General features: G+C 39.5%; 3 long non-coding RNA genes across 3 annotated transcripts in view; 1 reads left to right on the top strand and 2 right to left on the bottom strand.

Annotated features, from left to right (window-relative positions):
- Positions 1–3,096: 3,096 nt before the first annotated feature.
- LOC101927480 (uncharacterized) lies at positions 3,097–4,081 on the bottom strand. The gene is made up of 2 exons (NR_134971.1): positions 3,989–4,081; positions 3,097–3,421 (listed from the first exon to the last, which is right to left on the bottom strand). It is a non-coding gene; the product is annotated as an uncharacterized LOC101927480 (long non-coding RNA).
- A 3,409-nt stretch (positions 4,082–7,490) lies between these two features.
- Positions 7,491–16,489, bottom strand: part of LOC105371275 (uncharacterized) — a 42,139-nt gene continuing 33,140 nt past the window's right edge. The window contains exon 3 of the long non-coding RNA XR_933597.4: positions 7,491–9,416. This is a non-coding gene — a long non-coding RNA (uncharacterized LOC105371275). The remainder of the gene's footprint in view (positions 9,417–16,489) is intronic.
- On the top strand, positions 9,191–10,842 carry LOC105371276 (uncharacterized). Its single transcript, XR_007065073.1, has 2 exons — positions 9,191–9,352; positions 10,674–10,842. It is a non-coding gene; the product is annotated as an uncharacterized LOC105371276 (long non-coding RNA).

A 16,489-nucleotide genomic window follows, 5' to 3' on the forward strand; every position in this document is an offset into this window, starting at 1 on the left:
TTGAGGTCAGGAGATTGAGACCACCCTGGCTAACACGGTGAAACCCTGTCTCTACTAAAAATACAAAAAAAATTAGCCAGGCATGGTGGCAGGCGCCTGTAGACCCAGCTACTTGGGAGGCTGAGGCAGGAGAATGGTGTGAACCCACGAGGCGGAGCTTGCAGTGAGCCGAGATTGCGCCACTGCACTCCAGCCTGGGCAACAGAGCAAGACTCCATCTCAAAAAAAAAAAAAAAAAAGTTAGACAGGGAAGGGAAAATGGCCAATAAAGGGTGTTATCAATCCAGTTACTATTCTAGAAACTGGAACATAATTACCCTGGAGAAACCCTGGGTGTTCAGTTATCCTACTCAAGGGGTGAGGAAGCTATTATATTGATATTAACTACTGTATGTCACTGGTGGAAGGTGCTTCCAGTGGGTAACCCACCAACATTTCCAACCTGTCATGTAGATGGGTTTAGTTATATACCAATGTGTAACATACTATCCCAAAATTTAGTGGCTTAATATGACAATAAATATTTATTATTTCATACAGTTTGCAAGGGTGAAGAAATTTGGAATAGCTTAGCTGGTGAGTTCTGGCTTGAGGTTCCTCATGAGGTTGCATTTAAGAAATGGGCAGGGATTTAGTAATCTGAAGGTTTGACTGAGGCTGGAGGACCTGCTTCTAGGGTGGTTCACTTGCACAGCTGGCTGGTCAGTGCTGGCTGTTGGTTGGAGGCCTCAGTTCCTCACCATATCAACTTCTCCATTTGACTGCTTGAGTGTCCCCACAACAAGGCATATGCTGACCCCAAAATGAGTGATCCAAGAGAGACCATGAGACCACAGGGCCTTTTATGGCCTAGTCTTGAAAGTCACACTGTCATTTCCACCACATTCTATTTGATAGAAGCGAGTCAAGTCATAAAGTTTGGCCCACGTTCAAGAAAAGGGGAGGGAGGAGTATTAAAAAATGTGTGAATCTATTTTTAAGCCATCAGAGCAGACAAATCAGGCTTTGGCAATCAGAGTGAGTTCTCAGGCAAAGAAACACAGGTACATTTGGAATTCAGGTAGGCTAAAGTAGCAAGGAGGAGGGAGGATGGGTGGGGCACCAAGAGTGTCCTCTCCAGGAATAAATAAAGATAAGTCCAACCCACTTTTAAGGTGTAGGGAAATAGACTTGATCGTTTCATGGGAGGAGCTGCAAAGTGACACGCTAAAGGACATCAGGATATGAGTGAAGATCTGGGCCATCTTCAGAATCAATGTACTGCAACCACTAAGAAAGAAAAAAACTTCCAGTTAGATTATGATACTCCATAGATTGTAAGATGTATCTCAGTTTCAGGCCAGGTGGAGTGGCTTATGCATGTAATCCCAGGACTTTGGAAGGCTGAGGCAGGCGGATCACTTGAGGTCAGGAGTTCGAGACCAGCCAGGCCAACATGGTGAAACCCGGTCTCTACTAAAAATACAAAAATTAGCTGGGTGTGGTGGTAAGTGCCTGTAATTTCAGCTACTTGGGAGGCTGAGGCAGGAGAATGGCTTAAACCCAGGAGGCAGAGGTTGCAGTGAGTTGAGAGCATGCCACTGCACTCCAGCCTGGGTGACAAGAGCGAAACTCCATCTCAAAAAAAAAAAAAAAAAAAAAAAAAAGATGTATCTCAGTTTCAGACATACTAATATGAAAAAAGTATATCTTAGAATCAACAAATATAGTAGTTGTACAAAGAATTTCAGAATTATATATATACGGTAGCTGCAGAAACAAACACCTCTAACTTTTGTTTTCCATCTTACATAGATTTCATTAAGAATTAAGCATAGACAGTAGGATGATGATGGTATGGAGATTTAGATTTTAGCCCTTACCAGGCCATATCCTAGAAGTTGAATAAGTCATTTAATCTCTCTGGGTCTCAATTTTCACATCTGCAAAATGGAGATAAGGTACCGCCTTGACTTTCCCACAGATCAATAAAAAACAAATGCAAAATAGCTTTAAAAATTAAGATGTCATTGAGATATAAGGTGCCATCAGTGTGCAGAAGCAGCTATAAAACTCACAGATAGTGTGAAAGAAAATGAACGTTTTTGTTCCCTCGGAAGCTCAAGAAAGACAAAATTCCTGATTCCTTATGGTGCTAATCATACTGGACTGATTCCCACATTTTATTTATTTATTTATTTATTTAATTTTTTTTTTTTTAGATGGAGTCTCACTTACTCTGTCACCCAGGCTAGAGTGCGGTGGTACAATCTCTGCTCACTGCAACCTTTGCTTCCTGGGTTCAAGCGATTCCCCTAACTCAGCCTCCCAAGTAGCTGGGATTACTGTTGTGCACCACCACACCCAGTTAATTTTTGTATTTTTAGTAGAGACAGGGTTTCACCATGTTGGCCAGGCTGGTCTGGAACTCCTGACCTCGGGTGATCTGCCCACCTCAGCCTCCGAAAGTGCTGGGATTACAGGTGCGAGCCACAACGCCCAGCCTGACTCCCACATTTTAAAGAAATATCTTTGTTTAAAGATCAAATTTTTAGAAATGGAAGAAGGCAGGGGGGACTTGAATGTGATCCTACACAAACAGATCTTGCACGTCAATGAAGATAAAAAACAATTGGTCATTTTCCAGCTGGTGCAATAAACCCGGGCATAGGAGAACCATAAGCCTCATTGGCTGAGCTAGCAAATCTAGGTATTGTTCACACATGGCCGTTTCCTAGTGGTGTCTGCCCGAGCCCAAATAGAGACAGAACTTGCGGCTTTCAGTCAGAAAAACCCAGCTGCCACTTGGGCTGCTGAAAGCTCCCAGTATAAAGAAATGACACACACCTGAGCAGGTCTGATATATATTCCTTTCTGCAGAGGGCAGTGGAATACATTCCTGGGCCATTCATCATGTTGCTAAAATTAGATCCTGCTTAGAAGGAATGATATATTACTGATTACATAATAAAGATAGCTATATTTCTCATGAGAAACAGAAGGGAGAGATATATTTAGGCATAGGGCAAATATATCCTTGATATGAAAAATGGATTCATTAAGTATTTAATCTTTATACCATTCCTGTGAAATAAATGCACACATACATCACACATGTTTTAAAGTGACTTGATAATTAATATTGTTACACTTGAGAAAAATCCTGGCTCTCCATGGAGAAGTCATGTCATGAGTCAGAAGAGTGCAGGCTGAGGCATGCCCTCCACTGAATGGCTTGTCTGCACTCTGAAAGCCAAGTGAACCAACCATTCCATCCGTATGAAGAGCGTAAGTCCTAGATTTGCGTCGTGATGTCATCTCAGGTGGGTGAGGCCCAGAGGGAGTCACTGTGGCTTTTCTGAAGTAGTACATTTCAAAGAGTCCATGGTGATGACGGCTGAAAATATCCTATCTACAAGAGACAGCTTTCATTCTCCTTTGTCTGTAAAAAAAAAAAAAAAAAAAAAAAAAGCAAACAGAAAAAAGAAAACATCAGTTGCCTTACATCTCATTCTAGTTCTCTGCAACATCCTTACCATACAGGAAAAATCTCACATTTTAAAAAACTTGTAGCCATGGTGGAGGCATTTCCAGATATCCTGTGATGATATTCCCACTTAAAACAAACATGAGGGTGTTTGGTTGAAGTTTAAACAAACACACAGATTTGTAGCACCTCATGTGTCAAAGGTCAGCAAAAACAAATCTGGGTGAAACGAAAGAGCGAAATAATTCTAAGAACAATAGCTATGAAGAGTAGATTGATCTAACTCAAATTTATCCTAAAAGGATTACAGTTAGGAGGAAAATGCTAACAAGTTATAAAAGATTAAAAGCTCATTACTTGTATGTTTATGTTACAGGAAAATAGCATAGGCTCTGAAGTTAGATGGGCTTGAGTTCTAGTCCTGGATCTGACATATACTAAATTTGTGAGTTTTAAGCAAGTAATTTAACCTCTTGTGAGCTCTTTTCCTCAACTGTAATATAAAAATCAAATTGCTCTGACCATACTGTCCTAAATGTTGATGGCGTGTATGGTATCTAGCACAGTGCCCGATATAGAGCAAGAAGTCAACAAACATCTGCTGCCTTCCATTCTCCATCCCCTGGAGTCCATCCACTTAGATGAGTCTAGGAAGGTAGTGGCAGAAACCTTTTCCAGCACTCAGTGATATCATCATCGTCATCATTATCATCACAATGCTTCTCTCTACCGGGCTGTCAGTTAAAATTCTAGAGTGAACAGGAACACATTCATGGACAAAGTCCTCAAAGTAGTCAGAGTAGGCTAGGCTCTGCTGCCATAGAAACAACCTCCAATGCTCAGTGGCTTAATACAATAAAGGTTTACGTCTCTTTCATGCTACATGTCCATTGCGAGTTAGCAGGTACCTGTGCTCACTTTAGTCACTCAGGGACCCAAGGTTCTGCCCTCTTTTGATGCCACCATCTCAACATGAGGTTTACACTGGACTGTGGGAAGAAAAGAGCATCAAAATAGAGCAGTGGCTTTTCATTGCTTCCATGAGGAAGTGCTATATGACACTTCTGCTTACATTTCAAAGGGTCAGAGATGTCAATCCACCCAGGTCCCTAGAGAAGAGGCGACTCAGAGAATTGAGGCTCCTGTGGAGTAGCAAAATGATGACTAGAATGCACCAGTACACCCAAGTCCAGGGAGGCTTCCAGTAACCCCAACTGCAGGTGCTGTAACCCTGACTCCCCGGCTTCCCTTCCTGGGAGGATGCTGCTTTGCATGTGACCCACCAATCTCAGCCAGGATCTAATCCAGGCCCATTCTCTCCCCTGGTTCAGGCTTGTGAGTGGCTTTCTGAAGTTTTGATTATTAACCTTTCTAAATAATTCCTATACTCTTCTCAAGTCACATCTAAGTTGTCAAACTTGCAGATGCTTCATGGCAACATGATTGTTATTTTGTCACCAGATGCACCTTACTGTCACCTCAGATCAAATTAGACTCCCTATGTAGCTGATGTTGCTACAATTTTTGCTTCTTTCCCAGAAATAATCAGTATCTCCCTTATTTGCCAGTGGTTGACTGATTGCTTTATTGGCCCTTATTTTTCACCCCTCCCTTGTATTCAGGACCCTTGACATGCATTTTGCATGACCTCTTGCTAAAGAGGTGGAGTTTATTTCTCTATGAATAAGAAAAGTGGCTAAAAGCTTTATGGAAGGGCCCATGTTCAAGGAGATTGACCTGTCAGGGGGTTTGACAGCAGTAGGAGTTTCCAGGGTGGGAAGACTCAAGAAGGAGACTCCACTGTGATCCTGTGTGGTTCAATCTGATGGAAGCGGGACCCCAGCTGGTGGTTCTGGATATGAGGAACAAGGTCTTGATTCTGCAAAGAAGAGGTTACAGTAGCTAAGTCAGAGTGGCCAGGCACTGAACAAGCAGGCTGAGATTTGGTCCGAGGGTCCAGGAGGGCATCCAAAAAACAAACAGAAAATCTAGACAGGAGACCAGCAATCCTGTGGGGCCTGAGAAGACGGTGCCCTGCTGGCACTGCCAGGCTCATCAGACACCATATTGAAATAGGAAGTCTCATTCCAAAAACCACCGACAGTGGGAAGGGGGATCCTGAGCTTTTTCTAAGTTCAGAGCTGGATGAGAGTCAGGTCCTCTAACTTGGAGGGCCACGGAAAGCATGCACCCCTCCCCCAACAAGATTCTGACTCAATTGGCCCTGGTTAGTAGAATGTATTAGGTTGCCACAAAGGTAATTGTGGTTTTGCCATTACTTTTAATGGCAAAAACTGCAATGACATTGCTCCACCCTATATTATTATTATTAACAATATGCTGCCTGTATTGAAAAGCACTTAACCAGTTGGCTGGACCCCAAGCCTTCCTCCTGGTACAGGCCTCAACACTGATCTTTCTAAACCACAGTTTAATTAGGCACCCTAATTGCCATTTCTAAAGAAAAAAAATTAATGATGAAAATAACTGTTTTAATCTGCGGATTAACGCGCACAGTCATTGAAAATCTATAAATTGACCAACAGAAGCCCTTGCCACGACACTTGCTGTATGTCCTTTTTTTAAGACAAGGTCTTGCTGTGTTGCCCAGGCTGGGGTGCAGTGGTGCCATCACAACTCACTGCAGCCTCGACCTCCCAGGCTAAAGTGATCCTCCCACCTCAGCCTCCAGAATCTTGAAACTACAGGCATGTGACACCACACTTGGCTATTTTTTGTTTATTATTTGTAGGGTCTCCTTGTATTGCCTAGGCTTGTCTTGAACTCCTGGGCTCAAGCTATCCTCCCTCCTACAGCCTCTCAAAATGCTAGGATTACAGGCCTGCGCCACCGCGCCCAGCCCTCTAGCCATGTTTTACATGTCCCCCACAGTCAAGAGCTGATGCCTTGCAAAGACAGGGAGTACATTGTAAAACTTCAGAGCAATTTACCTTAAAGAGATTCTTAAAAATATTCATTTTATTTTTTTTAATTTATTTATTTTTGAGACAGAGTCTTGCTCTGTCATCCAGGCTGGAGTGCAGTGGTGCAATCTCAGCTTACTGAAACCTCTGCCTCTGAGGTTCAAGGGATTCTTGTGCCTCAGACTCCTGAGTAGCTGGGATTACAGGTATACACCACCAAGCTAGGCTTATTTTTGTATTTTTAGTAGAGATGGGGTTTTGCCATGTCGGCCAGGCTGGTATCGAACTCTTGACCTCAAGTGATCCACCCACCTCGGCCTCCCAAAGTGCTAGGATTATAGGTATGAGCCACCACACCTGGCCTAAAATGTTCATTTTAAAGAAGAATATAGCAACTTAAAAATGACAAAATATTAGCTTACCTATCTGTATTTATTCATTCGCACCAAACCCAAGGACTCTAGCATTCTTTTTTTGAGACAGAGCCTTGCTGGGCTGGAGTGCAGTGGCGTGATCTCGGCTCACTGCAGCCTCTATCTCCCGGGTTCAAGTGATTCCCCTGCCTCCGCCTCCTGAGTACCTGGGACTACAGGCATGCACCACCAAGCCCAGCTAACTTTTGTATTTTTAGTAGAGATGGGGTTTCACCATGTTGGCCAGGCTGGTCTTGAACTCCTGACCTCAGGTGATCCACCCACCCTGGCCTCCCAAAGTACTGGGATTACAGGCATGAGCCACTGCACCCAGCCTGGACTCTAGCATTCTTAACATAGAATATTGCATGCTAAGGAAGAAATAAGAAAATGCTAGGATACATTGCAATGTGGGGTTCTTTTGAATCTGGGGTCAGGGCAGGCTTTGCAGAGACAGTGCCTGTTGATTTCAGGACTAGATGAAAAGCAGGAACCAGCCTGGTGACCAACTGGGGAAAAGGTTCGCAGGTAAAGGGACCCAGCATTCCGCAGAGAACTCATGCTCAATGATCAGTGAAGAAAGTAGTTTGGCGACTTCAGGTGATGCTCACAGCAGTTCATTATAGCTGTGAAGCACCCCAGCCACCTGAAGAGAAGGAAGTAAATAACACACACACACACACAAAATGAAGAACAGGAGTTAAATTTATTTTTAAAGCACCACGAATAAGCATAGCCGGCATTACAGACAGTATTCTGGGGACAATATTATGTTCTCTCGCATAACGTTTCTAAAGAACAGAGAGGCGCATGGCCCCAGTCAGTTTTCCCTGTGAGTGATACAAAATAATCTTTTATTAATATTATTTTCGATTTGTTACCATTGTACGTAATCTCAGAAGACCAAGCAGAGAACACATTATATAAATCAAAGGAATAAATGAATATGAAAGAAAAGACAATTATAAGCCCGAGTAAAAATTTCTGCCCATTCTGTTACACTATAAAGCATTTTGTAAATCTAAATATCATACGTGAATGTTGAATAAATATATAAATATGATCTTCCTCTGGGTTTTTAAAAATAAGAATCTCAGTAGGCAAAGAGTTATCATTTCATATTTAAAAGTTCTCTCAGGCCTGTGTTTTCCAGCCTCAACAGTTACCGCAGGGAAGCCCGTATCTAGTAGAGACAATGAGGGTGGCAGTTGAGAGCTCTGGGTTTTGGACTGGAGGCAGATGGAACTAGGTTGAGTCCGTACCTTGCCATTTGGTTGTGTGACCTTGGACAAGGTACATAATCTATCCAAGCCCTCGTTTTGAAATGTCTAAAATGGGGTGGTTCTTCCCATTTCAAATTGTTGTTGTTGGAACAAAATAAGAATTAGTTAGAGTGTGGAACGGCGGCTGTGACATCCCTGTGGTTATCACGACCAACATTATTTCATCAGAGGGCATGGGTGTGTTTGAGGGCCTCACACTGGTACACTTGGAGATGCACAAAACAGCCATGGGACAGAATAAGGCTGTGGCATGGTGGTTGCTTCAGATGGGAAGACTTGGAATGGACAGCAACTCTTCTACAGCCTTACCAATCAATCCTGGCGGCAATTAAGAATTAAAGGCCTGGCACGGTGGCTCACGCCTGTAACCCCAGCACTTTGGGAGGCTGAGGCAAGCAAATACTTTGAGCTCAGGAGCTCAAGACCAGCCTGGGCAACATGGTGAAACCCTCTCTCTACCAAAAATACAAAAAATTAGCCAGGTGTCGTGGTGCGTGCCTGAGTCCCTACTACTCGGGATTGCTTGGGCCTGGGAGGTGGAGGCTGCAGTGAGCCAAGATTGAGCCACTGCACTCCAGCCTGATCGACAGAGAGAGACCCTGTCTCAAAAAAAAAAAAAAAAAAAGAATTCAGGAAGTTGGAGATCAGTCTGTTGCCCATTGGTTGTTGTTGCATTTCACCTAGTGAGTTTGGCTTTCAACTCTTTATTAAGGAATTTGACGATAATCTTAAAAAATTGTTTCTGGAGAATTCTTCCTGAAACAAATTGTCACCTGGAAACTCATAAAGGATAAATACCAAGCCAGACAAATAGGAAACAAACTATATAATAATTATTCACTTGTAAGAACTGCAGAGATTAATGTTATTCATGATGGAGAAAGATATTCTGCTTTAGGTATATTTTGTATCCCACTAGCCGGGGTAATCAACATATTCTCCCCCCTTCCATTCAAAACAAAGTTTGATTAATGCATTAATTAGATATAGTAGGATTTATTCTAGGTTAACAGCTTGGAATATAAGTTAAGAGAGATGAAGAGGAATCCATAATCAGCAATCATCCCTCAATAACTCATCTGCTGTTGAGATTATATCTTCTAGGTGCCACTGCTATCTGTTCTGAGGTTCACTCTGTTCAGCAGCCTTGGACTCTTCATGGAGTAACAGATTGGTATAACTACAGCCTTGAGCCTCACTTGAACCACCACAGCCTCTTCTGAACAGCCAGCAGTCCTTGAAGTCTCAGAGTCTTTTAACCAAAGGGTGTGGATGTTTCCTTATTGATATCATCAAAGATCTAGTGTATCAAGATGACAAACTTTGCTCCCTGTTGGGCCAAAAAGAGACATAAAATTTAAAACAACAACAACAAAACAAAACAAACAAAACAACAACGATAAAAAACAGCCCTCTTCTTTTAGCAACTGTAGTTGAGTACAAAATTACCTTATAAATCACAAATTTTTGAGGGTCTAGCATGTACACACACACACTCACTAATGAAAATAGGCAGATTCCATAGAACAAACAGCTGCTTTGGAAAAAAAAAATGAATCCAGAGTGACAACCCGGGTTTGAGCCCCAGGTCAATTACTGAGTAGCTAAGAGACCTTGGGCATGGTCATTTCACTTCTCAGAATGTGTTTACTCATCTATAAAATGGAAATGATAATATTTACTTCAGGCTCCTCACAACATTGTGGTGAAAATTAAAACAGATAGTCCATGTAGAAGTATTATAAAAACTGTAAGAGGCACTGCTGTGTAAGTGGTATTGTTATTACCAATTTCTAAGAATTGTTGAACACCTTATCCTTAGACCATATCAGCAAGCTGACACCTGACAAATGAGAACTCATTACTGTGTCATATCCCATTGTCTCTTGCTGTTTTCATCCTCAGCAGATAGGGTGGGCCTATGTTGCTCTGGAGCATACATCCTTGGTAGAGGGCATTTCTCTAAAAGTGGAAAGGATTTCTAGCCTTCTTCTCATCTCACCATTTCCACATATCCATATGCCAAACAAATGTCATTCAAAATTCCTAAAGCAAGAAAAGAGAAATATAGGAAGCAGATAGGCACATCTGTTTTAGGTTTCCTCACTTTTGTTAAGATTCTCTATAGATCCAAATGGCCTCTGCCTCAACTCCTGAAATCTCTGCATAACAATAATATTTACCATTTGTTGAGTACTTCTGTAGTTGGTCACGAGATAAGCTCTTGATGTTGAATATTTTCTTTAATCCTCACAACAAACATATGAAATAATATTACTGCTCTGGATTTAATGACTGGGAAATTGAGACTTGGAGAGGTTAAACAACTTTTCTTAGGTTGCAAAGCTAGCTAGTAAGTGGCAGGGATGGGAATAGGTCCTAGGTCTGCCTAGCTCCATAAAACATGGTCTGACCACTACACGATCAAGTTTTTCCTGAAAAAATTCTCTGCTGTTACTATTAGTTTTGTCTGAAATCTGCCCTTGAGCCAAGTTGCTATATAGCACTAAGAATTATTTTTGCCTCAATCTGTCAGATGGTTCATTTTTCCATCCAACAAATATTTATTGAATCTACTCTCTGCCAGGTACTGCACCAGGGAAGAGGTGGTCATCAACTATGAAGGAATCCAGACCTTTAATCCTGTAGAGCTTCCAAGTAAGGATAATGGGTCAACTACAACCTTCTTCCTAGGATATGTCGACGTGCACGGCATTAGGAAAATCTGCTCTTTAAATTAAAATACAAACTCATGAGGATTTTCTTTATCATTTACCAAAAATATATGCCTTAGAGATTCTTTAATTTCATTCATTCTGTCAGTGAAATGATAAATGTTTGTTAGGTGCCTATTAGGAGTCAGACACCATACTAGCCAATCTAAAAGATAAAATTGCATTTATAAAACCTTTGATAATCACAGTTATTCCAGATATACTAGGGAACACCTAATGTTAATACCTGTTAATTCTCAGTTATCTATTTTGATGGAGAAAGAAAATAATTGGGATATATATATATATATATATATATATATATATATATACATGCATACCCACACACACACATGCACGCACATCACCATAACCAAGATTTTGAGATTCTTTCCACTTTAAACTTTTATAGATACCTTTTGAGCTTAAAAAATTTCCTTATTTTGTTCTGTGGAAAAAGTATTTATAAACAGTGGAATAGGTAAAAATTAGAGCACAAAAAAGAGGTAAGGGAGAAGTGAAAATGCAGCATGGGTAATCCAGAGCTAAGCAAACTGTTGAATAATCATCATTATTTTTAATATGTTTCCCATGGTTTCCAAGCATCCAGATCAAATTGAGCTTTCCTTTTTCTGAATAGTGATACTGGCTGGGTGTGGTAGCTCAGATCTGTAATCCCAATACTTTGGGAGGCCGAGGCAGGAGGATCACTTAAGCCAAGAAATTTGAGACCAGCCTGGGCAACATAGTGAGACCCTGTCTCTACAAAAAAATTAAGAAATAATTGTATCTGTGCCTGTAGACCCAACTACATGGGAGGCTGAGGAAGAAGGATCACTTCAGCCTGGGAGAGCAAGGCTGCATGAGCCATGACGGCACCACTGCACTCCAGCCTGGGTGACAGAGCAAGACCTTGTCTCAAAAATCATGATAATAATAATGATACTCCTCTGGACCTTAATGTTTATTTTTAGATTTGTGGGGCCTTTCCTTTGGAGAATGTGAACTCCTTGAAGGAAACAGCCCTGCCATATTTGTTTATACCTCCATAGCAAACAAAACAATTCTGGGCACACAATGGGTGCTAAATATGTACTTGCTGATTAATAGATTAAGATTCTTAGAGAGGTAACAGTAATAACTGAAGGATTATAGAGACCAAAAACAAAGATATTACCTAAAAATAATTATCTTCCCATTTGTTGAAGTAGTTAAAATATAATGGTTTAAGAAGCCAGATTCTGTCATTTTCTATTTCTGCATCTTTGGACAAATTACTTAATCATTCTGTGCCTCAGTTTACCCTCACTGTAAAAATGAGGATAATAAGTGTGTCTATCTAGTAGAATTGTTGTGAGAATTAAGTAATTATAGAACAGGATTTACACCTCCAGCACATGATGAGTGTATAATACATGTTTGTCATTATTTGTGACTCATTTCTGATAATGCAAAAGTCTTTTAAAATGAGAAAGTAAGATACACTAGATTAATTTATTTCAAAGATAGCAGGAAATGTAGTCCTTACCACTACTAAGCTTCATTTAACTAATGAAATTCCATTTTGACTTCCAATTAAAGATGGCAGATTGTGCAAATGCATTCACTTTTGCTCTCTTCTAAGACTATTAAAGTGGCAGAAAACAACCTTCTAAAGAGATAGACCCCTAAGGATTTGGATAACAAGAGAAAAGACAACAACAAATAATTTCTTTGGTGAGACCCTTACATATTATGGAAACCGGGCTTATGACAATTGTGGCATTGATTGCCAGAAAAGTGGAAGAATGGAATGTGGATGGAAAAACACAACAGAGCATCTAAGAGATATGGGACAATAACAAAAGATCTAACCTACATGTAATTGGCATCCCAGAAAGAAAAGATATTAAGAAATAATATGTAAGGATTTTCCAAAATGAATTACAGATACTGAATCATAGTTCCAAGATGCTCAAAGAACACCAAGCAGAATAAATGCTCCCCCGAAAAGAACTCCCACATCATAGGCATATCATATTCAAACTGCTGAAAACCAGAGACAATGAGAACATTCTGAAGGCAGCCAATGAAAACAGACACACTGTACACACAGAAGTTAAAAACCAAAGGTAAGAAGGACAGAATATTTCTCATCGGAAACTATGCAAGCCAGAAGATAGTGGAATAATGTCTTTGATGCTGATTGACATCAAAAACCAGTAAATTCAGAATTCTTTACCCAGCAAAAATATCTTTCAAAAAGAAAGGAGAAATAAAGACTTTCCCAGACTCAAAACAAACAACAACAACAAAACCTGAGAGAATTAATTGCCAGTGTACCTATGCCATAAGAAATGTTATAGAAAGTTCTTCAGGCATAAGGAATGTAATAGAAGATAGAAACTTGAATCCAGAGAAAGAAATTAAGAGCATTGGAAATGGAATGACTAAAGGTAAACATAAAAGTCATGTTTTATTACTTGTAATTGCTCTAAAAAATAACTATCTAAAGCAAAATTAGAAGTATTGTGCATGTATAGCATTTGTAAGAGTAAATACAGGGCAACAATAGAACAAGGGTGAGGAGCTGGAAGTGGGAATATATTACCTTTATAGTAGACATGAAACAGAAGATAATTATTTGAAAGTAGACTTTGATCAAACAAGATGTGTATGGTAAAGTCTAAGGCAACTACTAAAATTTTTAAAAACAGTTACACATGTTAATTCAATAGTGAAGATAACATTAGATAGTAAAAAATGCTTAATTAATCAAAAAGGGGGCCAAAAGAAAGCACAAATGGAACAAATCAAAAACAGCTGTTTAGATTATTGACTTTAACTCAATCATATCAATAATCATATTAAATGCAAACCACACTAATAAAAAGATAGAAATTGCTAGACAATATAAAAAGCAAGACTCAACTATATACTGTCTACAAAAATACCATTTTAAACATAAAAACATAGATAGGTTAAAAGTAAAAGGATGGAAATAGATGTACCATAGAGACACTAATCAAAAGAAAGCTGAGTAGCTTCATTAATGTCAAAGTAGGCTTCAGACAAGAAATATTACCAGTGATAAAGAGGGTTATTACATAATGATAAAGGATTCAATTCTCCAAGAAGACAAAGCAATGAATGATTTTATGCCTATAAATTCAGCAGCTTAGAGCAAATGGACAAATTCCTTGAAAAGCATATCTTACCAAAATTAGCAAGAAGAAAAAGAAAAATTCACATAGCCCTGTATCTTTTTTTCAAAATTGAATTCATAATGAAAAATCTTTCAACAAAGAAAATCCCAAGCCCAGATGGCTTTACTCGTAAATTCTATCAAAGCCTTAAGGAAAAAACTAACACCAGTCTTACACAAACTCTTCAAGAAAATAGAAGAAAACACTTTCCAAGTTGTTTTATGAGGCCAGCATAAACACTGATGCCAAAACTTGACAAGGACATTACAAGAAAAGAAAATTACAGGCCAATATCCTGCATGAGTAAAGACGCAAAGTCCTCAATAAAATATTAGAAAACCAAATTCGGCATTGTGTGAATAGGATAACTGTTATTAATAACTTATGCCAGGATTGCAAGTTTGGTTTCCCATTAGAAAATCAATGTTATAATTCATCACATTAACAGAATCAAACAGAAAAAAGCATAACATCTCAATTGATGCAAAAATATTTTTGAAAACATTGTATACATTTTCATGATTTTTTTTTTTTTTGAGACAGAGTCTGGCTCTTGTGGCCCAGGCTGGGGTGCAGTGGCCCCATCTCAGTTCACTGCAACCTCCGCCTCCCGGGTTCAAGTGATGCTCCTTCCTCAGCCTCCCAAGTAGCTGGGATTACAGGAGTGCACCACCACGCCTGGCTAATTTTTGTATTTTTGGTAGAGACGAGGTTTCACCATGTTGGCCAGGCTGGTCTCAAACTCCTGACCTCAGGTGATCCACCCGGCTCAGTTTCCCAAAGTGCTGGGATTACAGGCGTGAGCCACTGCACTGCACCCAGCCACATTCATGATTTTTAAAAACCTCTCAAAAAAACTAGGAAAAGAAAGAACTTTCATCAGTGTAATAAATGGCATATATAAAAACCCAACAGCAAATGTTATACTAAATAGAGAAATATTTAATGCTTTCTTTCAGAGTTCAGAAACAAGATGTCCACTCTCCCTACTTCTATGCAACCATTATCCTGAAAGTTCTAATACAACAACGTAAGAAAAAAATAAAGGCATACAAATTTAAAAAAAAAGAAGCAAAACTATCTTTTATGCAGATGACACGATTTCATATATAAAACATCCTAAGGAACCATCATCTGGTCTAGTAGAACCAAAAATAAATTTAACAAAGTCACGGCAGCCAAGGTAAATATATAAAACTCAATTATACTTTAATTTTGGGCTGGGCACGGTGGCTCACGCCCGTAATCCCAGCACTTTGGGAGGTTGAGGCGGGCAGATCGCTTGAGGTCAGGAGTTTGAAACCAGCCTGGCCAACATGGCAAAACCCCGTCTCTACTAAAAATACAAAAAAAATTAGTCAGGCATGGTGGCAGGCACCTGTAAATCTCAGCTACTCAGGAGGCTGAGACATGAGAATTGCTTGAACAGGGGGCGGCGGGGAGCGGGAAGGGAAGGGGGGTGGCAGGTGGAGGTTGCAGTGAGCCGAGATTGCGCCACTGCACTCCTGCCTGGGCGATAAAGAGCGACTCCTTCTCAAAATAAATAAATTAATTAAATAAATAATTAATTCATTATATTTCAATTTTGACAAACAAAACATTGGAAAATAAAATTAAATAGCAATTCCATTTATAACGGCAGCAAAATATAAACTACTGAAAATTTAACAAAAATAAGTAAGACATTCTGAAAATGATTTCATATTGCCGAAAAAGGTTAAATAAAAAATTAAACCATATAACATGCTTATGGATTGAGAGAATTAATATTGATCTATAGCTTCAGTGCAATCCCAATCCAAATTCCAGGAGGCTTTTTAGTAGAAATTAATGAGCTGAAGTTAAAATGTATTATGAAAATTCAAAAGATGAAGATTAGCAACAGAACCTTTAAAAGAAAAAATATAGAAGACATATCCTTCCTGCTTTCAAGACTTACTATAAAGCAACAATTATTTAGACGCTGTTATTTGCATCAGATAGACAGACAAGTCAATGAAACAGAATTGAGAGTCCTGAAATAGGTTCACGTGTGTATAGTCAATTGATTTTCAACAAAGGTGTTTGTGCATGCTCACACAGGCACACACATCAATGTAGAAAGAAAAGTCTTTGCAACAAATGATTCTAGAACAACTGGATATCCATATTAAAGACAAAAACAAAACAGAAGAACTTTGACTGCTACCTCATACCATATACAAAAATTAGCTTAAGACAGGAGGCCTTAATGTGAAATCTGAAACTATTAAGCTTCAATGTTTTCTAAAACGAGATACAGGAAAATATCTGCATGCTGTTATGCTCAGCTAAAATTTCTACAGAACATAAAAAATACTAATGATAGAAGACAAAAATCACAAATTGGACATAATCAAAATGTAACACTTCTGCTCATTAAACAATACCATGAAGAAAATGAAAAGACAAGACACAGACTGGGAGAAATATTTGCAAAATAATTTTATTTTATTTTATTTTTTGTAGAGACAGGGTCTTACTGT

This window comes from Homo sapiens, chromosome 16, assembly GCF_000001405.40.
Source record: "Homo sapiens chromosome 16, GRCh38.p14 Primary Assembly".
NCBI classification, from domain to species: domain Eukaryota; kingdom Metazoa; phylum Chordata; class Mammalia; order Primates; family Hominidae; genus Homo; species Homo sapiens.